At 43.4% G+C, this 21,032-nt stretch overlaps 1 protein-coding gene and 1 pseudogene across 1 annotated transcript in view, besides 4 other annotated features; one reads left to right on the top strand and one right to left on the bottom strand.

The window, feature by feature from the left end:
- Positions 1 to 458: 458 nt before the first annotated feature.
- LOC124903127 (uncharacterized) lies at positions 459 to 541 on the bottom strand (annotated as a pseudogene).
- Positions 878 to 1,078: a silencer, noted in NCBI's record as "peak1730 fragment used in MPRA reporter construct". NCBI's record gives its function as "represses an SCP1 promoter by STARR-seq MPRAs in K562 erythroleukemia cells {active_cell/tissue: K562}" and the evidence as "EXISTENCE:reporter gene assay evidence [ECO:0000049][PMID:32103011]".
- DIP2B (disco interacting protein 2 homolog B) overlaps positions 16,960 to 21,032 on the top strand; it is a 243,673-nt gene continuing 239,600 nt past the window's right edge. The window contains exon 1 of the mRNA NM_173602.3: positions 16,960 to 17,215. Coding sequence (NP_775873.2) covers positions 17,116 to 17,215 — 100 coding nt within the window. The 5' untranslated portion in view covers positions 16,960 to 17,115. The remainder of the gene's footprint in view (positions 17,216 to 21,032) is intronic.
- Positions 16,977 to 17,028: a tandem repeat, named in NCBI's record as "fragile site, folic acid type, rare, fra(12)(q13.1)".
- Positions 16,979 to 16,999: a repeat instability region, noted in NCBI's record as "repeat instability region; expansion of the (CGG)n trinucleotide repeat is associated with intellectual disability". NCBI's record gives the evidence for it as "EXISTENCE:polymerase chain reaction evidence [ECO:0000082][PMID:17236128]".
- Positions 17,263 to 17,372: a silencer, noted in NCBI's record as "silent region_4452". NCBI's record gives its function as "represses an Ori minimal core promoter by ATAC-STARR-seq in GM12878 lymphoblastoid cells {active_cell/tissue: GM12878}" and the evidence as "EXISTENCE:reporter gene assay evidence [ECO:0000049][PMID:35858748]".

A 21,032-nucleotide genomic window follows, 5' to 3' on the forward strand; every position in this document is an offset into this window, starting at 1 on the left:
AAAATAAATAAATAAATAAATTAGCTGGGCATGGTGGCTTGTGCCCGTAGTCTCAGCTGCTTGGGAGGCTGAGGCAGGAGGATTGCTTGAGGCAGGGAGGTCGAGGCTTTATTGAACCCTGATCACGCCACTGCACTCCAGCCTGGGGTACGGAGAGACCTTGTCTTAAAAAAAAAAATGTAAGTCCATCATTTGTAATAAATGTACCACTCTGCTGGAGGATGTTCATGATAAATGTCACATAGGTGAGATGTCTGAAAAGTCCATTGGATTTCACAATTAGGTGGTTACTGGTAACCATTACCAAACTGATTCACTAGAGTGTGAGTGGAAGCATGATTATGTAGGGTTGAAAAGAGGTTAGAAAATAAGCGGAGGGAAGCCAGAGGCCTACTTTAAATGTTCAGTGATAGAGCTGGATTCAAGTGTGTAATCAATTTTTTTTTTTTTTTTTGAAGTCTTAGATATTTCAGTGCTCCACATGCTCAGAGAAACTTCTCTAGTAACAAACTATGGAAATGATCCCTGAAAGTATAGTCTTTTTATGCTTTTCTTTTTTTCTTTCTTTCTTTTTTTTTTTTTTTTTTTGAGATAGGGTCTCACTCTGTCGCCCAGGCTGCAGTGCGGTGGCGCTATCACAACTCACTGCAGCCTTAACCTCCTCGCTTGGGCTCAGGTGATCCTCCCGCCTCAACTTGCATTTTTTTAGAGTCGGGATTTAGCCATGTTGACCAGACTGGTCTGAAACTCCTGGGCTCAAGTGATCCACCAGCCTCAGCCTCCCAAAGTGCTGGGATTACAGACGTAAGCCACCGCACCGGACTGAAAGTATAGTCTTTGTAATCCATCTTCTTACCCTAACCCTGTCTCTCCATCTCTCCTCTTCTCTCCAATTTATCCCTCTTATGCCCAGTCTGTTAGCTGTGTGTTGGCTTGTTTCTTAAGTGGGATCTCTCCATGTGACAGGAAAGACTGGCGAGTAACAGTTATATGTTTACACAGTCCTTGCAGACACTTCCAGATAAGGAAATAATTCTCTTCCCCAGTTTCCATATAGCAAATCTCTTCACAGGACAGATTACCTTCAGCAGTTTCAGGCTTTTATGATGATCATAGCTGTGCGCTCCAGAGATTAGGAGACATGATACTCTTAGCATCTATATATCAAAATTTAGGGATCCTGTATCTGTTATTGGTAAAATCATATTTCCTTGATTTCTGATGAAGTTTTTTGTTTGTTTGTTTTTGTTTTTGTTTTTGTTTTTTTGAGACAGAGTCTCGCTCTGTTGCCCAGGCTGGAGTGCAATGGCAGGATCTCGGCTCACTGCAACCTCTACCTCCCAGGTTCATGCCATTCTCCTGCCTCAGCCTCCCGAGTAGCTGGGACTACAGGTGCCCACCACCAGGCCTGGCTAATTTTTTGTATTTTTTTAAGTACAGACGGGGTTTCACCATGTTAGCCAGGATGGTCTCAATCTCCTGACATCGTGATCCACCCACCTCGGCCTCCCAAAGTGCTGGGATTACAGGCGTGAGCCACCGTGCCCGGCCTGTGTTTTGTTTTTTTATTTATTTTATTTATTTATTTTTTTGAGACAGTCTTGCTCTGTTGCCCAGGCTGGAGTGCATTGGCATAATCTTGGCTCACTACAACCTTCACCTCCCGGGTTCAAGTGATTCTCCTGCCTCAGCCTCCTAAGTAGCTGGGACTACAGGCTCCTGCCGCCACACCTGGCTAATTTTTTTTTGTAATTTTTAGTAGAGATGAGGTTTCACTATGTTGGCCAGGCTGGTCTCAAACTCCTGACCTTGTGATCCACCTGCCTCGGCCTCCCACAGTGCTGGGATTACAGGCATGAGCCACTGTGCCAGGCCTCTGATGAGTTTTTAAATCTTTTTATATATGTTTGTTAGCCATGTATTATTTCTTACTTATTTTTCCATGAGGTTGTCAGTTTTTGTTTACTGGCAAGCCTCTATATATTCTGAATATTTTGCTATCTGTTAAATACACTAAAAAAAAAATTCTTGCCTGTAATTTCTTTAACTTGTATGTAGGGTCTGGTATTTTCTTCTAATACTATAATAATTTTGGTTTTTGAATTTTAGCTTTTTTTTTTTTTTTCGAGATGGTATCTTACTCTGTCACTCAGGCTGGAGTGCAGTGGCGTGATCTCAGCTTACTACAACCTCTGTCTCCTGGGTTCAAGTGGTTCTCCTGCCTCAGCCTCCTGAACAGCTGGGATTATAGGTGCCTGCCACTGTGCCCAGCTAATTTTTGTACTTTTAGTAGAGATGAGGTTTTGCCATGCTGGTCAGGCTGGTCTTGAACTCCTGACCTCAAGTGATCAGCCTGCCTCCGCCTCCCAAAGTACTGAGATTATAGGCTTGATTAACCATGCCTAGCCTGAATTTTAGCTTTTAAATATATTCAGAGTTTATTTTGGTGCATTATTTTTTTCTGAATAGTCATTTGTTCCAAAACCATTATTGAAAACTGTATCCTTTCTCTCTGATTTGAGGTGCCACCTTTATCACAAAGGAAACTCTCAGTTATTCCTGCATTATTGTTTCTTCACTGTTTATCCAATGCCTTTTATCAATTCTATGCCTATCCTAATAGCTTTCTGCCTTAAATTCTACATCTTTTTTGTGTGTGTATTTTGATGTTTGAATGAGGAAGTTGCTCCTATGACTATTCTTGTTTAGCATGCCTGGCCACTCCTGTGAATTATTTTCTTCAATGTGGATTTTAGAATCACCTATTGAATTTTGTTAAGAAGTATTCTGTTAGGATTTTTATGAATATTGCATTGAACTTTTTTTTTTTTTGAGATGGAGTCTCACTCTGTTGCCCAGGCTGGAGTACAGTGGTGTGATCTCAGCTCACTGCAACCTCCGCCTCTCAGGTTCAAGCTATTCTCCTGCCTCAGCCTCCCGAGTAGCTGAGATCACAGGTGTGCACCATTATGCCTGGCTAATTTTTGTATTTTTAGTAGAGGTGGGGTTTCGCCATGTTGGCCAGGCTGATCTCGAAGTCCTGACCTCAGGTGATCCACCTACCTCAGCCTCCCAAAGTGCTGGGATTACAGGCGTGAGCCGCTGCGCCCAACCTGCATTGCACTTATATGAAGTTTTTTTTGTTTTTTGTTTTTCCTTTTGAGACAAAGTTTCATGCTTGTTGCCCCAGGCTGGAGTGCAATGACATGATCTCGGCTCACTGCAACCTCTGCCTCCCGGGTTCAAGTGATTCTTCTGCCTCAGCCTCCTGAGTAGCTGGAATTATAAGCATGTGCCACCATGCCTGGCTAATTTTGTATTTTTAGTAGAGACAGGGTTTCTCCATGTTGGTCAGGCTGGTCTGGAACTCCCGAACTCAGGTGATCTGCCTGCCTCAGCTTCCCACTGTGCCCAGCCATGGAAATTTTAGGACAACTGATTTGATAAAATATTGAGCCTTGCCACTAAAAAACATGCATGTTTATATTACCATTCATCATTCAGACTTAAGTTTTATTTACATTAACCAGCCTTCCCTTCTGATTTCTTGGTTTTTAGACTTGTAGCTTTTTAGTATGTCTTGATATCAGGTCAGGCAAAGCCCCCTTTTCTATCTTTTTTTTTTTTTACTTTCTTTGAACATTAAGTCTTCTGTTTGAACTTTAGAATCAGCTTGTCAAGTTATGATTTTTAAAAATTACAATGAGGCCGGGTGTGGTGGCTCATGCCTATAATCCCAGCACTTTGGGAGGCCGAGGCAGGTGGATCACCTGAGGTCAGGAGTTCAAGACCAGCCTGGCCAACATAGTGAAACCCCATCTCTACTAAAAATACAAAAATTAGCCAGGAGTGGTGGTGTGCCGAGACCAGCTCGGTCAGGGAGACCCTAACCCAGCGGTGCTAGAGGAATTAAAGCCACACACACAGAAATATAGAGGTGTGAAGTGGGAAATCAGGGGTCTCACAGCCTTCAGAGCTGAGAGTCCCAAACAGAGATTTACCCACATATTTATTAACAGCAAGCCAGTCATTAGCATTTTTCTATAGATATTAAATTAACTAAAAGTATCCCTTATGGGAAATGAAGGGATGGGCCAAATTAAAGGAATAGGCTGGGCTAGTTAACTGCAGCAGGAGCATGTCCTTAAGGCACAGATCGCTCATGCTATTGTTTGTGGCTTAAGAATGCCTTTAAGCGGTTTTCTGCCCTGGGCGGGCCAGGTGTTCCTCCCGTGAACCCACAACCTTCCAGTGGGGCACTAGGGCCATTATGAACATGTTACAGTGCTGCAGAGATTTTGTTTATGGCCAGTTTTGAGGCCAGTTTTTGGCCAGATTTTGGGGGGCTTGCTCCCAACATGTCCCCCTTCTTTGATTTGCAAATTGATAAAAGCAAAGGCAGCTTTGTCACAGTGAGCTACTTCTCACAGGAGTCAGGATCCACAACTGCAGACTATACAAAGACAAACAACACAGATTAAAAGCACAATCATCATTGAAATTACAGAGATTCTAAGTGTTTTTATCCATTTCCAGCTCCTTTAAGCACTCCAGTTCCTGGCATTAAGGTCAGGTATGCCTGGGATGCTTTAAATATTTGTTCTTTTAATTTTGCAATATCCAAAGACAAGTTTGTAGAGTGTCCTTCTAGATGCTTTTTTTATTCTTTCCCAAATTTTGATCTTATTAAAGCATTTAATAGTTTCCACAAATCCTTATGTTTAGCTCCTACAGCGAGCCATATCATTTGAGGTTGAGATGCCACTATACCACCATGATTCCAGATAATAGGAACTCTTGCTGTACTTCTTATCATTTCTACCATCTGACCATTTTGTTCAGACCAGCTGAACATAGTGTGGCCATGGCACGCAGACTGAGAGGTGCAATTCAAGCTAAACATCCCCTTAGGGGACCAATTAATAATGATTCCATAGGAATCATTGTGCAGCACCTCTACCTGTTCTGCAACGCAATCTTCCTAAACAAGTACATTCATTTTTTCTGGCCAGGTTCAATTTTGTTTACAAATAGGTTTTTGAGGGCAGTATGACTCAATTATAAGAACAGATTTATTATGGTCAATACTGAGATCAGAAAGCATGTGTAACTGTGTCATAGAGTGATTAAATCTAGGCATTATTGCCAGCCAAGATTGATAAATATGCCCAATAAGTATAATTGTTCTCTGTGTCAGCCCTTATTGAAGGAATACTCACGGCAGTGGTGATAACCGCTATCATAGCTACCATTAAATTATTCATTGTTACTGGTTGTCCCACTCTCCTCAGGTTTTCTTCCACCATCTGTGACAGCTTCTTGATCTGTCCCCAGGTGGGTGGCTGTGTTCAAAAGGTGTTGCTCGTGACAGTTGGGGTCCTCCTCAGCATCGGTCTCGACATGGCTGCAACCAGGGGGTCCTCGGGATCCTTCTGGAATCTCTTCCTCGGCATCTGGCTCATGATAAGGTTTCAGGTGTCTCGATGGTATCCAAATCGGCTGTTAATTTTGGCCTGGAGAAACACAAACATAACCTCTACCCCAAGTTATTATTTTACCTATTTCCCAACTTTTTGTTATCGGATCTCTCCACCAAACCAATGGTTTTGCTTCTGTCTTTGCAGCTGGTTTCTGTAGATGCTGTTCAGCTGCTGATAACATTTGTCCTTTAGGCAGGCTCAAAAAATTTAAAGTTAATAATGCTAGGTTCAGTTGCATCTGTGGGGTTCCATATTCCCTGTCTCCCCATTTCTGCTTTTGCAACTGCTGTTTTAGGGAGAGATTCATTCTTTCCACTATGGCTTGTCCTTGAGAATTGTATGGGATACCAGTAATGTGTTTAATATTCCACATAGAGAAAAATGTAGCTAGAGCTTGGCTAGTATAGACTGGGGCATTATCTGTTTTAATAGAAGCTGGAATGCCCATCACTGCAAAACACTGCAAAAGGTGATGTTTAAAACAGGCAGAAGACTCTCCTGATTGGCATGTAGCCCAAAGTGAGAAAAGGTGTCCACACGTACATGTACATAAGCTAGTCTCCCAAACGAGGGAATATGTTTGACATCCATTTGCCAAAGAGAGTTAGGTTCCAGTCCTCAAGGATTAACTCCTCCTGTAAAAGATGAGGAATGTACCATTTGGCAAGTTGGACATTGCTGGATAATAGCTTTAGCTTCGTTCCAGGTAATGCTGTATCTGCATTTGAGACCAGAGGCATTAACATGGGTTGAATTGTGAAAGTGTCTAGCATTAGATATTGCATTAGCAACTAGGTGATCAGCCATTTGATTCCCTTTGGTCAAAGGTCCTGGAAGATGTGTATGAGCCCTAATGTGAGTGATGTAAAAAGGGTGCATTCTACTTCTAACTGCTGTTTGCAATTGGGTAAATAAAGTCATCAGTTGTTCATTTGTATGAAATCATAACTGAGCATTTTCAATTAACTGTGTGGAATGAACCACGTATGAAGAATCAGAAATCACATTAATAGGCATATCAAAAGCAGTCAATACCTCAATTACAGCGACAAGCTCCGCTTTTTGAGCTGAAGTATAGGACGTCTGGAAAACTACTTTCTGAGCCAAAATAAGAAGCTTTACCATTACTAGACCCATCTGTAAAAACATTCTCAGCACCTTCAATTTGTTTAAATTTAGTTATTTTAGGGAGAATCCAATTAGTTAATTTCAAAAACTGAAACAGCTTCATTTTAGGAAAATGATTATCGAGAATACCCAAAAAGTCAGCTAAATGGGTTTGCCAAGAAAGACTATTTATAAAAGCTTGCTGTATTTGTGCTTTCGTGAGAGGGACAATAATTTTTCCAGGATCATATCCATGTAATTTAACAATCCGAGTTCTCCCAATCCCTATCATTGTAACAATTTGATCTAAATAAGGAGTTAGAGTCCGTGAATTAGTATGTGGAAGAAAAAGCCACTCTACTAAGTCCTGTTCTTGGACAGTAACACCAGTAGGTGAATGCTGAGTGGAAAAAATTAGCAAATCTAGAGTCTTCTCTGGATCTATTTATTTGAGCTTTATGGACTTGCTTCTCAGTTGTAACTCTGCCTCAGCCTCCTTTGTTAATTGCTGAGGGCTAGTGAGACTAGGATTTGCTCTAAGGATAGAAAACAGATTACTCATGGCATAGGTAGGAATGCCTAGAGCACGTCGTATCCAATTAATGTCCCCTAGTAATTTTTGAAAGTCATATAATGTTTTCAGTTGATCCCTATGTATGGTTACTTTCTGTTGCACAATGGTAGTGTCATTTACTAAGGTCCCCAAGTAGGAGTAAGGAGTAGTAGTCTGAGTTTTGTCAGGAGCTATAATTAAGCCAGCACGAGAAATCGAATTTTGCAAGTGATCATAACATTGGAGTAATATTTCTCGAGTGGGGGCAGCACAAAGTATATCATCCATATAGTGAATAATGTAACACTGTGAAAATTTTTTACGAGTAGGTTCAATTGCTTGCCCCACATAAGTCTGGCAAATTGTGGGACTGTTCAATATGCCCTGGGGCAACACTTTCAAATGATAACGCTTAGCAGGGTGCAGGTTGTTTACTACAGGAATTGTAAATGCAAACCATTCAGTCTTGCTCAGCTAAAGGGATAGTAAGGAAACAGTCTTTTAAATCTATGACTATTAAAGGCCAATTTTTTGGAATTATAGCAGGAGAAGGCAATCCTGGCTGTAATGCCCCCCATAGGTTGTATAACTGAATTGATGGCTCTTAAGTCAGTTAATATTCTCCATTTACCTGATTTTTTCTTAATTACGAAAACTGGAGAATTCCAAGGAGAAAATGTTGGAGCTATGTGCCCATTTTCTAATTGTTCAGTAACGTAATTTATCTAAAGCCTCCAGTTTCTCTTTACTTAGTAGCCATTGTTCTATCCAAATTGGCTTATCTGTTAACTGTTTTAAAGGTATAGGTTCTGGAGGCTTAACAATGGCTGCCATCAAAAATTATTTCCTGATCTTTGGTGGGAACTTTGTTTTTCTGCTTGAAGTGGTTCTTTCAAAACTTGCAAATTTTTTTCTACTCCCATACCAGGGACATACCCCATTTCATGCATCATATGTTGACTTTGAGGGCTATATAATTGTTCTGGAATTAGAACTTGTGCTCCCCATTGTTGTAATAAATCTCTTCCCCATAAATTTATAGGTACAGAAGTTATAATTGGTTGAATAGTCCCAGGTTGTCCATTGGACCCTTCACAATGCAAAATATAACTACTTTGATATACTTCAGTGACTTTACCAATTCCACCTATGTTAAATTGAGCGGGTTGAATTGGCCACGCAGACAGCCAGTGCTGTAGAGAAATGATTGAAATGTCCGTTCCTGTATCTACCAAACCTTTAAATTTATTTCCCTGAATAGTTATTTCAAAGGTAGGATGTTTATCAATTTGATTTACCCAATAAACTGCTTTGCCTTGTTTATTTGTGCTTCCAAATCCTCCTGTTCGTTTGATTTCACTTTTTCCCATTCCCACATATGGCACAATCAGGAGCTGTGCTATGCACTCTCCTGGCTCTGTTTTCCAGGCAACAGAAGTAGATATAATAATTTGAATTTCCCCATTATAATCTGAATCAATGACTCCTGTATGTATTTGTACGCCTTTTAAACTTAAACTAGACCTTCCTAAAAGTAATCCTATTGTCCCTGCTGGCAAGGGTCCACAGACTCCTGTTGGGACCTTTGGCGGGGGTTCCCCAGGCAGAAGGCTCACAGTTTTTGTGCAGCATAAACCTACTGTGGCACTACTGGCTGTGGCGGGGGACAGACATTGTACGGGGTGAGGGAATGGCCTGAGCTGGAAATGCCCTGGTTTAGAACAGGGCCCAGGACGGGCCCCTGATGGCATTTCCCAAAATCGGGTTCCCATCTTTATCAAACTTAGAGTGACAGTGAGGAGCCCAATGTTTTCCTTTTTTATACTTTGGACATATTTCAGGCTCAGCAATTTTCTTTTTTCCCCTATCTGGCAGCCTGACTTGCTGATTTTTTTCTACATTCTTTTTCAGTATGACCATGCTTCCCACAGTTAAAATAAGCTCCAGGAAATGGAGTATTTCTTTTATCCACTCTCAGTTCTGCCATTGCCTGTGCCAACAAAGTAGCTTTATGCAGATTACCTCCGATACCATCACAGGCCTTGATATAATCAACTAAATGTGCTTTCCCTCTAATAGGTCACAGAGCAGCCTGCCAATCAGGATTAGCATTGTCGAAAGCTAATAACTGCAACACTATATCCTGAGCAGCCGAATCTGCAATCATCTTTTTAAGAGACTCCTGTAACTGAGCTATACAATCAACATATGGTTCTCTTGGTTCCCGTTTTATAGCACTAAAGGAAGGGTATTTTTCTCCATGTGAAGTGATTTTTTCCCAAGCTCTAATGCACACTCTGCTAAACTGTTCTATGGCATCATCCTGCATGACCACTTGTGCATCTAAACCAGCCCAGCTGCCAACCCCCGAAAGTTGAGGTTGGGCCTGGACATTGCAAGCAGCCTGAATGGAAGCTTTATCTGCCCACCAAGTTTTAAATTGTAAGAACTGAGCAGGAGTTAGACAAGCTCGAGTAAGAGTGTCCCAGTCAGTAGGTATCATCCAACTGGAAACAGCAACATTCTTTAACAGTCCCATTACAAAAGGAGAACCTGGTCCATACTGATTTATAGCTTGTTTAAATTCTTTGAGTAATTTAAAAGGAAAAGGCTCAAATGTAGCTGTAATATTTCCCTGTTGATCTGGGGGGTGTGTTCTAACAGGAAACTGCCAAGCCTCTAAATCACCCTCTTGTCTAGCTTGCTGAATTCCTGCCTGAATAGAACTAAGAGTGGTCACTCAAGGCGCTGCTCGAACAGTCACTGGGGCAACTACTTTTCACCCAATGTCCTCCGGAAAAGAAGGATCCGGAGGGTCTTTTTCTTCAAAATAATAATGAGGGGGTGCAGAAGGGTAGGGATGAACCTCTCCCTCCTTTGCCACTTTAGCTTTAGCTAGAAAATAAACATGCTCTGTAACCACTTCTGTTACTTCTCTATACTCTCCTTCCTCCTCCTCATCAGTGTGAAAAAGTTCCAAGGTGGAATGAACCAGACCCCAAACTTGTCCCATTGTTACCCTGACGCTTCCAAGCTCCCCTTCTTGGTCACCATGGGGATTGCTTTAAGAGTACTCAGGTGTCCTCCAGCTAGTTTTCCATTCCAACTGTCGCTCTGGCGACCCTTCGACTTGGATGCGAGGCCCCACGTTGGGCGCCACTTGCCGAGACCAGCTCGGTCGGGGAGACCCTAACCTAGTGGCACTAGAAGAATTAAAGACACACACACAGAAATATAGAGGTGTGAAGTGGGAAATCAGGGATCTCACAGCCTTCAGAGCTGAGAGCCCCGAACAGAGATTTACCCACATATTTATTAACAGCAAGCCAGTCATTAGCATTGTTTTGTTTCTATAGATATTAAACTAACTAAAAGTATCCCTTATGGGAAATGAAGGGATGGGCCAAATTAAAGGAATAGGTTGGGCTAGTTAACTGCAGCAGGAGCATGTCCTTAAGGCACAGATTGCTCATGCTATTGATTGTGGCTTAAGAATGCCTTTAAGCGGTTTTCTGCCCTGCATGGGCCAGGTGTTCCTTGCCCTCATTCCCATGGGTGTTCCACCTTCCGGCATGGGCGTTAGGGCCATTATGAACATGTTACAGTGCTGCAGAGATTTTGTTTATGGCCAGTTTTGGGGCCAGTTTTTGGCCAGATTTGGGGGGAGGCTTGCTCTCAACAGTGGTGCACATCTGTAGTCCCAGCTACTCGGGAGGCTGAGGCAGGAGAATCGTTTGAACCTGGGAGGCAGAGGTTGCAGTGAGCCGAGATTGCACCACTGCACTCCAGCCTGGGCGACAGAGCGAAACTCAGTCTCAAAAAAAAAAAAAAAAATTTGCTGGGTGTAGTGGTGGTGCCTGCAGTCCCAGCTACTAGGGAGGCTGAGGCTGGAGAATTGCTTGAACCTAACCTGGGAGAAAGAGGTTGCAGTGAGCCGAGATCGTGCCACTGCACTCCAGCCTGATTGAGGCCTTGTCTCAAAAAAAAAAAAAAAATATGAGATTTGATAAATTTTTTTTTTTTTTTTAGACAGAATCTTGCTCTGTCGCCCAGGCTGGAGTGCAGTGGTGCGATCTCGGCTCACTGCAAGCTCTGCCTCCTGGGTTCATGCCATTCTCCTGCCTCAGCTTCCTGAGTAGCTGGGACTACAGGCGCCCACCACCAAACTCGGCTAATTTTTTTGTATTTTTTAGTAGAGACGGGGTTTCACTGTGTTAGCCAGGATGGTCTTGATCTCCTGACCTTGTGATCCACCCGCCTCGGCCTCCCAAAGTGCTGGGATTACAGGTGTGAGCCATTGTGCCTGGCCGAGATTTGATAAATATTGCATTGATTTTTACTGATTAAGTTTTAAAGTACTGATACCTTCATGATATTGAGTCTTCTAGAAATGGGTAATTATTCATTTAGGTTTCTTTTTCTGTTTGTTTTTCAGCTAGGTCTTCTTTCAGATCAGTTACTGTTAGAGGTTTTTTTTTTTCATATAGGTCTGTACATTTCTTGCTAGGGATATTCCTATTTATGTTATGTTTTGTTATAACTATGAATGGATTTTGCCTTTCTTTCTTTCTTTTTTTTTTTTTTTTGAGACGGAATCTCACTCTGTCACCCAGGCTGGAGTGCAGTGGCATGATCTCAGCTCACTGGAAGCTCTGCCTCCCAGGTTCACACCATTCTCCTGCCTCAGCCTCTCAAGCAGCTGGGACTACAGGCGCCAGCCGCCATGCCTGGCTAATTTTTTTTGGTATTTTTTAGTACAGATGGGGTTTCACCGTGTTAGCCAGGATGGTCTCGATCTCCTGACCTCGTGATCTGCCCGCTTCAGCCTCCCAAAGTGCTGGGATTACAGGCATGAGCCACCATGCCCGGCCGATTTCACCTTTCAATGGCAATTACTATAAGACAGGAAAGTTATTTATTTTTATATATTTACCTAATTTTAAGTTACCTTATACAACCCTCATTAATAGTCTGTTAGAACTAGAATTTAAACTCTATGTGAATATGGACCTTATTTAAACAATGTATCCCTAGCACCTAGACAATGCCTAACCTGTCACATTAACTTAATATATATTTTATTTATATTTTTTGTTTATTTATTTTTTTTTGAGACAGACTCTTGCTCTGTCACCCAGGCTGGAGTGTAGTGGTGCGATCCTGGCTCACTGCAATCTCTGCCTCCCAGGTTCAAGCAGTTCTCTGTCTCAGCTTCCCAAGTAGTTGGGATTACAGACACCCGCCACCACGCCCAGCTAATTTTTGTATTTTTAGTAGAGATGGGGTTTTTACCATGTTGGCCAGGCTGGTCTTGAACTCCTGACCTTGTGATCTGCCCGCCTTGGCCTCCTAAAGTGCTGGGATTACAGGTTTGAGCCACTGAGCCCAGCCATTAATATTTATTTTAATGAATGAATAATGTTATTTTAGTTGATTCTGTTGCATTTTCTGGGTAGACAATTTTTCCAAATTTTCAACTATTGTAATCATGAGACTTGGTAGATTGCTCTAAAATTCATGTTCTGAAGTACCCTTTCTCCTATGTATACATCAATATTAGATAAAATAGAAAAAGGTAAACTTACAAAGCTATGACATGCAGAAACAAGAACTATTTCTTTGTATTTAAAACAGTGTTTAGAGGCTGGGCAGAGTGGTTCATATTTGTAATCCTAGCACCTTGAGAGGCCAAGGTGGGAGGATTGCTTAAGCCCAAGAGTTTGAGAACAGCTTGGGCAACATAGGGAGACCCCTGTCCCCACAAAAAGTAAAAACATTAGTCAGGCTTGAGTCCGGGAGGTTGAGGCTGCAGTGAGCTATGATTGTGCCACTGCACTGAAGACTGGCTGACAGTGAGACTCTGTCTCTAAAGGAAAAAAAATGCTTATTTGAAGAAATAATCCCTGAAAACTTCTCAAATTTGATAAAGAATATTAATGTGCACATTCAAGGTCAGTTAACTCCAAGAAGAATAAACTCAAAGAGATCCACACCTAGGCACATTATGGTCAAACTGCCAAAAGACAAAAACAAAGAGAGAACATTGAATACAGCAAAAAAAAAAAAAAAAAAAAGGCAACTCATCATGTATAAGGGATCCTCAGCAAAATTAATAACTGACTTCTCATCAGAAACCATGGAGCCCAGCTGGGCATGGTGGCTCACGCCTATAATCCCAGCACTTTGGGAGGCCGAGGTTGGTGTATCACCTGAGGTTGGGAGTTTGAGACCAGCCTGACCAACATGGAGAAAACCCATCTCTACTAAAAATACAATATTAGCCAGGCGTGGTGGGGCATGCCTGTAATCCCAGCTACTCGGGAGGCTGAGGCAGGAGAATTACTTGAACCTGGGAGGCAGAGGTTGCAGTGAGCCGAGATCTTGCCATTGCACTCTAGCCTGGGCAACAGGAGCGAAACTCCATCTCAAAAATAATAATAATAAAAAAGAAACCATGGAGCCCAGAAGGCAGTGGAAAGACATTCAAAATGCTAAAAAAAATTGTCAACCAACAATTCCATATCCACAAAACTATACCTCAAAAATGAAGGAGAGGCCAGGTGTGGTGGCTCATGCCTGTAATCTCAGCACTTTGAGAGGCCGAGGAGAGGATCACTTGAGCCCGAGTTTGAGACCAGCCTGGGCAACACAGTGAGACCTCATGTCTACAAAAAAGTAAAAAATCAGCCGAGTGTAGAGGCATGAATTTATAATCCCAGATACTTGGGAGGCTGAGGTGGGAGGATTACTTAAGCCCAGGAGATTGAAGTTGCAGCAAGCCAACATGGTGCCACTGCACCCCAGCCTGAGTGACAGGGCAAGACCCCGTCTCAAAAAAAAAAAAAAAAAAAAAAAAGAAAAAAAAAGAAAAAAAGAAAAATGATGGAGAATGCAGACATTCCTAGATAAACAACAACTGAATTTGTCACTTGCCCCGCAATGTGAGCCATTCAGCCTGAAATGAAAGATTATTAGACAATAGCCTGAGTTCACACGAAGAAATAAACAGCACTGGTAAAGGTGCTGGTGCGGTGGCTCACGCCTGTAATCCCAGAAGTTTGGGAGGCTGAGGCCAGTGGATCACTTGAGGTCAGGAGTTCGAGACCAGCCTGGCCAACATGGTGAAACCACATTTCTACTAAAAATACTAAAAATACAAAAATTAGCCGGGCATGGTGGCCGGTGCCTGTAATCACAGCTACTTGGGAGGCTGAGGCAGGAAAACCGCTTGAACCCGGGAGGCAGAGGTTGTAGTAAGCTGAAATTGCGCCACTGCACTCTAGCCTGGGTGACAGAGCGAGACTCTGTCTAAAAAAAAAAAAAACGGTGACACAGTATAAACATAGTATATTTTTGTTTGTTAATTTTTAAAAGTTTTTCTCCAAAAGCATGAGCCACCACACCTGGCCTCGGAGAAAAATTTAATGTTAAACTTTTAAAATAGTCACAGAAAGAATAGCAGTATAATCTGTACCTTCCAAACCAGAAGAACAAAGAAGTACTATCTAACACTTTACTAATTCAACAATAGGAGAAAAAGGGGGGGAAGAAAGCAAAGACAGAGATTGATAAACAGAAAACATTTAACAAGAATGAAGAAATAAGTCCTAATATATCAGTAATTATATTAAATGAACTTAAATGGATTTAATTAATTTGTTACAACCAGAGTCACAGACAAAAGTTGAAAATAAAAGACTAAAAAAAGTCAGCAAGTAGTAATTAAAAAGGCTGGTACAACAATAATATCTAGACAAAAAGATTAAGGTAAAGAATAAACAATTAGAAATAAAGAGAATATAAGGAATAATCTAGCAAAAAGGTAGAATAATTTGGTGGAAGAATGCAGTAAAGGCTGGATGAGGTGGCTTATGCCTGTAATCCCAGCACTTTGAGAGGCTGAGGTAGGAGGATCTCTCAAGTTTGTTCTAAGCTTCTATAATTTTAAATAAATGTTTTACTTTAGAATGGTTTTAAATTTACTGAAAAGTTGCAAAGATAGTACAGATAATTCCTGTGTATGCTTCATCCAGTTTTTCCTTTTTTTTTTTTTTTTTTTTTGAGACGGAGTTTCGCTCTTGTTGCCCAGGCTGGAATGCAGTGGTGCAATCTGGGCTTACCGCAACCTCCACTTCCCGGGTTCAAGCGATTCTCCTGTCTCAGCCTCCCGAGTAGCTGGGATTACAGGCACATGCCACCATGCCCAGCTAATTTTTGTATTTTTAGTAGACGCGGGGTTTCACCATACTGGTCAGGCTGATCTCCAACTCCTGACCTCAGGTGATCTGCCTGCCTCGGCCTCCCAAAGTGCTGGGATTACAGATGTGAGCGACCACGCCCGGCCTTGACTTTTTTTTTTTTTTTTGAAACAGTTTCACTGCGTTGCCCAGGCTGGAGCGCAGCCGCCATGTTCTCAGCTCACTGTAACCTTGGCCTCCCGGGTTCAAGCGACGTTCCTACCTCAGCTCCCCCAGGTAGCTGGGATTACAGGCATGTGCCACTACTCCCGGCTAATTTTTGTGTTTTTAGTAGAGACGGGGTTTCGCCATGTTGGCCAGGCTGGTCTCGAACTCTTGACCTCAGGTGATCCGCCCACCTTGGCCTCCCAAAGTGCTGGGATCATAGGTGTGAGCCACTGCACCTAGCCTTGGACCCTCTTCATATTAAATTAAAATTAATGTTTTTGGAACACCTATTAGGCCACAGAGTGAGGAGGATGAGTTAAAGTAAGTTCCCTCCTTGTAAGTAGTTAGAAGTATAGAAAGAAAGAAGTGGACCTGCTCTCTATTGTCTTTTTCTTTTCTTTAGACGGAGTGTTTGCTCTCTTGCCCGGGCTGGAGTGCAATGACGCGATCTCAGCTTACTGTAACCTCTGCCTCCTGGGTTCAAGTGATTCTCCTGCCTCAGCCTCTTGAGTAGCTAGGAGTACAGGCATCCGCCACCACGCCCGGCTAATTTTTGTATTTTTATTGGAGACGGGGTTTCACCATGTTGGCCAGGCTGGCCTAGTACTCTTTTTTTTTTTTTTTTGAGTCGGAGTCTCGCGCTCACGCTCAGGCTGGAGTGCAGTGGCGTGATCTTGGCTCACTGCAAGCTCCGCCTCCCGGGTTCACGCCATTCTCCTGCCTCAGCCTCCCGAGTAGCTGGGACTACAGGCGCCCGCCACCACGCCCGGCTAATTTTTTGTACTTTTAGTAGAGACGGGGTTTCACCGTGTCAGCCAGGATGGTCTCGATCTCCTGACTTCGTGATCCACCCGTCTCGGCCTCCCAAAGTGCTGGGATTACAGGCGTGAGCCACCGCGCCCGGTCGGCTAGCCTGGTACTCTTAACCTCAGGTGATCCACCAGCCTCAGCCTCCCAAAGTGCTAGGATTACAGGCGAGAGCCACCGCGCCTGTCTTTTTAAAAGCTAAAACTGAAACGGAAACAGAGCTCCTGGCAGATAGGACCAGGAGCCACAGCGAAGGAGGTGGCCTGTGATTAGGTTTTTATAAATGGGCAGGTATTAATCAGGGAAAATGGAGTAAAGGACACGATAGACATACATTGCTAAGTCTAGTATTGGAAAAAGTAAGGCCTGGGACCCCTAAAAACTTGCTCGAGAGTGAAAGGTAAATGCTATGTGTCCACACTACTGTGGTAAAGCCGACAGTCCATACCATGAGCCCATTTCGCGCAGGGAAATTCGAGTGGTGGGCTTGGGCCCGTCGTTCTGGTAGCTTCCCAGTAGAGGGCGCCGTAAGCATATGCGTCTTCAGCCTGACTGGGCTGGAGAGGCGGTGCGTCCTCCTGGCCGGGGGGCGGGGGCCGTCGCGCTCACGTGACCTTTGCTCATGGCGGCGGCGGCGGCGGCGGCGGTGCTGGTGGTGCTCGGCGGCCGGAGCCGGATCCTGTAGCCGGGTGTGGGCCCGTGTCTGTCCGTCCCTCCTTCGGCCCCCTCTCTTGTCTTCCGGAGTGTGGCTGGCGGAGCTGGGATGGCGGAACGAGGCCTGGAGCCGTCGCCGGCCGCGGTGGCGGCGCTGCCGCCTGAAGTGCGGGCGCAGCTGGCGGAGCTGGAGCTGGAGCTCTCGGAGGGTAGGAGCCGGGCCGGGGAGAGGGCGCCCGGGGCCCTGCGGATCGCGGCGACTTGGGAGACAGGTCCCCGCCGCGCGCTCTGGCGGCCGTGCGGCGAGGGGGACGAGGGTGTAGAGAACCTGGCCTGGCGCTCCACGACCGTTTTCCCTCCTCTCCCACCCCATTAAGTGGTTTCCTGTGGCTTTCATTGTTTTCCCATGGAGGGGACTAAGTAAGGGCTTGTGGAAAGGTCCTCCCGGGCCCACACTGCTTCTGCGCTTCCTGCCCCCCAAAACCCGAGACAAAGCTGCGCCCTCCCGCTTCTGCCCAGGCGTCTGGCCCAGGTGGGGTGAGGGGTAGGGCTGCGAGGAGGGTGGCTGACAGCTTTCTCCTTTCCTCTCCCCTTTTCGTGGAGGGCTCCACGCCTTGTTCCAGCCCCCCCTTCCCCCTTTCAAAAAGAGACACATGGGAAATCCGCAGCATCATTTCTTCTCTTTCCTTTAACAATGCGCGATGCCTCCCCAGTGACAGGAGTGAGACACAAGCGGGTGAGCCATTTAGGGTCCTAGGAAGATAAGAAGCAATGGCATTAACCCAGAGAGACACACGGTGCTGCTTTTAGACCACCTTTGTCATAAGAAGTTTTTTTTTTTCCTGGTGCCTGTTATTCGGGCCGAATTTTCCGCATCTGGTCACCTTTTGGAGTCTTTGATGAAGGAAGGAGAGGAGGCTACCGTTTACTTGCAAATCCTGGCTGGCATTCTTTCTTTTGACAATGGATTGGGACAGGGAGGGTTCGATTTATTTTCAGAATTAAAAAAAAAAAATGGGATAAATCAAGCCACTGTTATTAGAGAACTCCTTGTACAACAATGAGAGAAACACAGTGCTCCGTTGTGGGCATGTGATCAGGCTTCTGGGGCAGTTGTGATCAGTTCTGTGTAAAGTTCCTGTTTTTATCACTGGCTGCCCCTGAGACAAAAGCAGCATTTTCTCCAAGCTTGATACCAGTACTTTGATTGTGTCTCCAGAGTTGCATATTCTTACTGAGTTCCTTGTGGAAGGCCCTCTTCACTAGCATTTTTCAAGTGGATCAAAAACTCTTGATTGGAAAAGAAGAATGTGACCAACTCCCAGGAGCTTATTAAACATTACTTATTGTTTACTTATTAAGGCATTATGGTTCCCTCCCCTCTGAGAATCCTTTACAATGAAAAACCAAAAATAGAGTTGAATGTTATAAATCCTGTTGGGCACTGAAGGAAATAATTATTTTTAATAACCCTTTTAATAACCCAATGTGTAGGAAAGTGCTGTTTTTACCTGTACTTAACTATCAACATGTTATTTTTCAATTAATCCAATTTTCAAGTTATTCTTCGGCCAGTCCCGGGAATCACTGGTATTAGATTAGTTTGTTTCTGTGAAGTGTTTAAGAAGATAGGAATCCTCTGGGTTTGTCTGCCCAGTTATACCTTAAGTTCCCCCCGCTTCGAAAATCGAGGAGCTTTTTGCATTACCATCAATTCTGTCTCTCAAGATAACTCATTCTTCTCCTAGACTAAAGCATTGACATTAAATCTGTGTTGACTTGCATTAAAATCTGACTTTTAAAACTGCTATTTGAAAGTAACAAATCATCTAGCTTTGATTAGAGAGAGGTTTGCCTGGATGCTTGCGTCAGAGGGAGATTAAAAATAGGAGTTGATTGCTTTCACACGGAGAGGGAAATCCTGGAAGCTCCTTATTCTGGGTATATCTGCTTCCAGCTGATTGTTGTTTACATCTCTGGGTGTTTCTAGACATCTCTAGAATGTCTAGAAACATTCTGAGGAACTATTTCTAGGACCCACACTGATTAGCTCACCTCTCTCTCCTTCAGAAAGGTGTGAAACTTCTACAAATTGTGAATGCCAAGGCTTAAACATTTTAAGGACAAGTGCATGGTTTGCTTTCCAATGAAGGATTATTTTGGTTGGCATCTGACTTGGTTTGAATTTGTTTCTTATAGATATACTACACTTCTTGTATTTCATTTGTTTTAGCAATGGATGACTGGAAAAAATACAATTGAAAAACTTGGGCCTGCAGTGTCAGCATATTGGTCATCTTTCTTGCTTAAAGTACAGGGGATGGTTGGCTGGAGAAGTGGATAGACATTAGGAATTCAAGTGAAGTTAAAATAATCCAAAAGTCCCCATATCTGTGTAGTATGGTGTTATTTGTGATGCCTGTAGCATATTTGGAGCTAAGGTTTGTTCGTTTTGCATTTTCTCTACAGTTACTCTGCTCTAACATAAGTACTTTGTCTTTTTTTGTTTTAGATGCTTTTCTTTCGTTTGTTTTTTTTGAGATGGAGTCTCACACTGTTGCCCGATTTTAGCTTACCGCAACCTCCGCCTCCCAGGGTCAAGCAGTTCTCCTGCCTCAGCCTCCCCAGTAGCTGGGATTACAGGCAAGCGCCACTACTGCCGGGCTAATTTTTTTTGTATTTATAGTAGAGACCGGGTTTCACCGTGTTGGCCAGGCTGATCTTAAACTCCTGACCTCAAATGATCCACCAACCTCAGCCTCCCAAAGTGTTAGGATTACAGGCGTGAGCCACCGCTAAAGATGCTTTTAACTGTGTGTTTATCATGCCTTGCTGACATTGGTGCACTCATTTCTCTATTTTCATTTTTTCTTTCTTTCTCTCTTTTTTTTTTTAAGGTTCAGCCTGTCATTGGTCCTAATCATAGCAATAATCTGAGCTGTATGCTGTTAAAGAATTTTCTTTGTGCTTGCCTGTATTTTCAGCTGCAGGCTTTGGTAATAGATCAGCCAACTCTGTGCTGAAATGCAGGTTTGTGCCTGCTTTGGGCTCTTTGCTGCAGAGCGTGTTGCAGAGCCCTGTGATGTGTCTGGTGCTTCAGGCAGGTCACCAGGCAGCTTCCTGGTTAAAACCTGCTTCTGTCACAAAAAGAACAGGCTGAAACTGCCTGGAAATCATTTAAAAACTGAATTTCCACATAAGGATGAGCTTTTCTATAGACGAGTTGAATAGGTAGAAGGTTTCTGCAAGTATTTCTGTGACTGAAATTTTTAATGATCCACATATTTTATTATATGCTTGACAGCTCTGTTGTTTGGACTTATGTATATGGTCTAGTCAAGTGTATGTACATAAAGTAGCACTAATGGGGAGAATTAATTTGCTTAAATCTGTCCAATAATACATTATATTTGTGTAATGATCTTTTTGTACATTGTCATTTGAGCTTTACTAAACTTCACTAGATAGAATAGGTATTGTTACCACCCACCGCCCCTTTCTTTTTTGTGGCTTAACAGAAGGGAAAACTTGTACTCAGAAAGATTGTTTTGTCTAAAGCTGCATACCTAATAAGTGTCGTTATCCTAAGCTGTCATGTGACGATGACATTGGAATGATTTAAATATTTGTGCTGTCATTGCACAAGCTGTTAACTAATTTTTTCTCTAAGGAAATGCTACCTTTTTTTTTTTTGCGATGGAGTTTCTCTTGTTGCCCAGGCTGGAGTGAAATGGTGCGATCTCAGCTCACTGCAACCTCTGCCTCCCGGGTTCAGGTGATTCTCCTGCCTCAGCCTTTCTGAGTAGCTGGGATTACAGGCATGCGCCACCACGCCTGGCTAATTTTGTAGTAGACACGGGTTTTCTCCATGTTGGTCAGGTGGGTCTCGATCTCCCGACCTCAGATGATCTGCCTGCCTTGGCCTCCTGAAGTGCTGGGATTACAGGTGTAAGCCACTGCACCTGGCCCTAAACAGTTCTATACCACAGTGTTGATTCTCTCTCTGAAATCTCTTTCAAATCCATC

Source organism: Homo sapiens, chromosome 12 (assembly GCF_000001405.40).
Source record: "Homo sapiens chromosome 12, GRCh38.p14 Primary Assembly".
Lineage (NCBI taxonomy): Eukaryota > Metazoa > Chordata > Mammalia > Primates > Hominidae > Homo > Homo sapiens.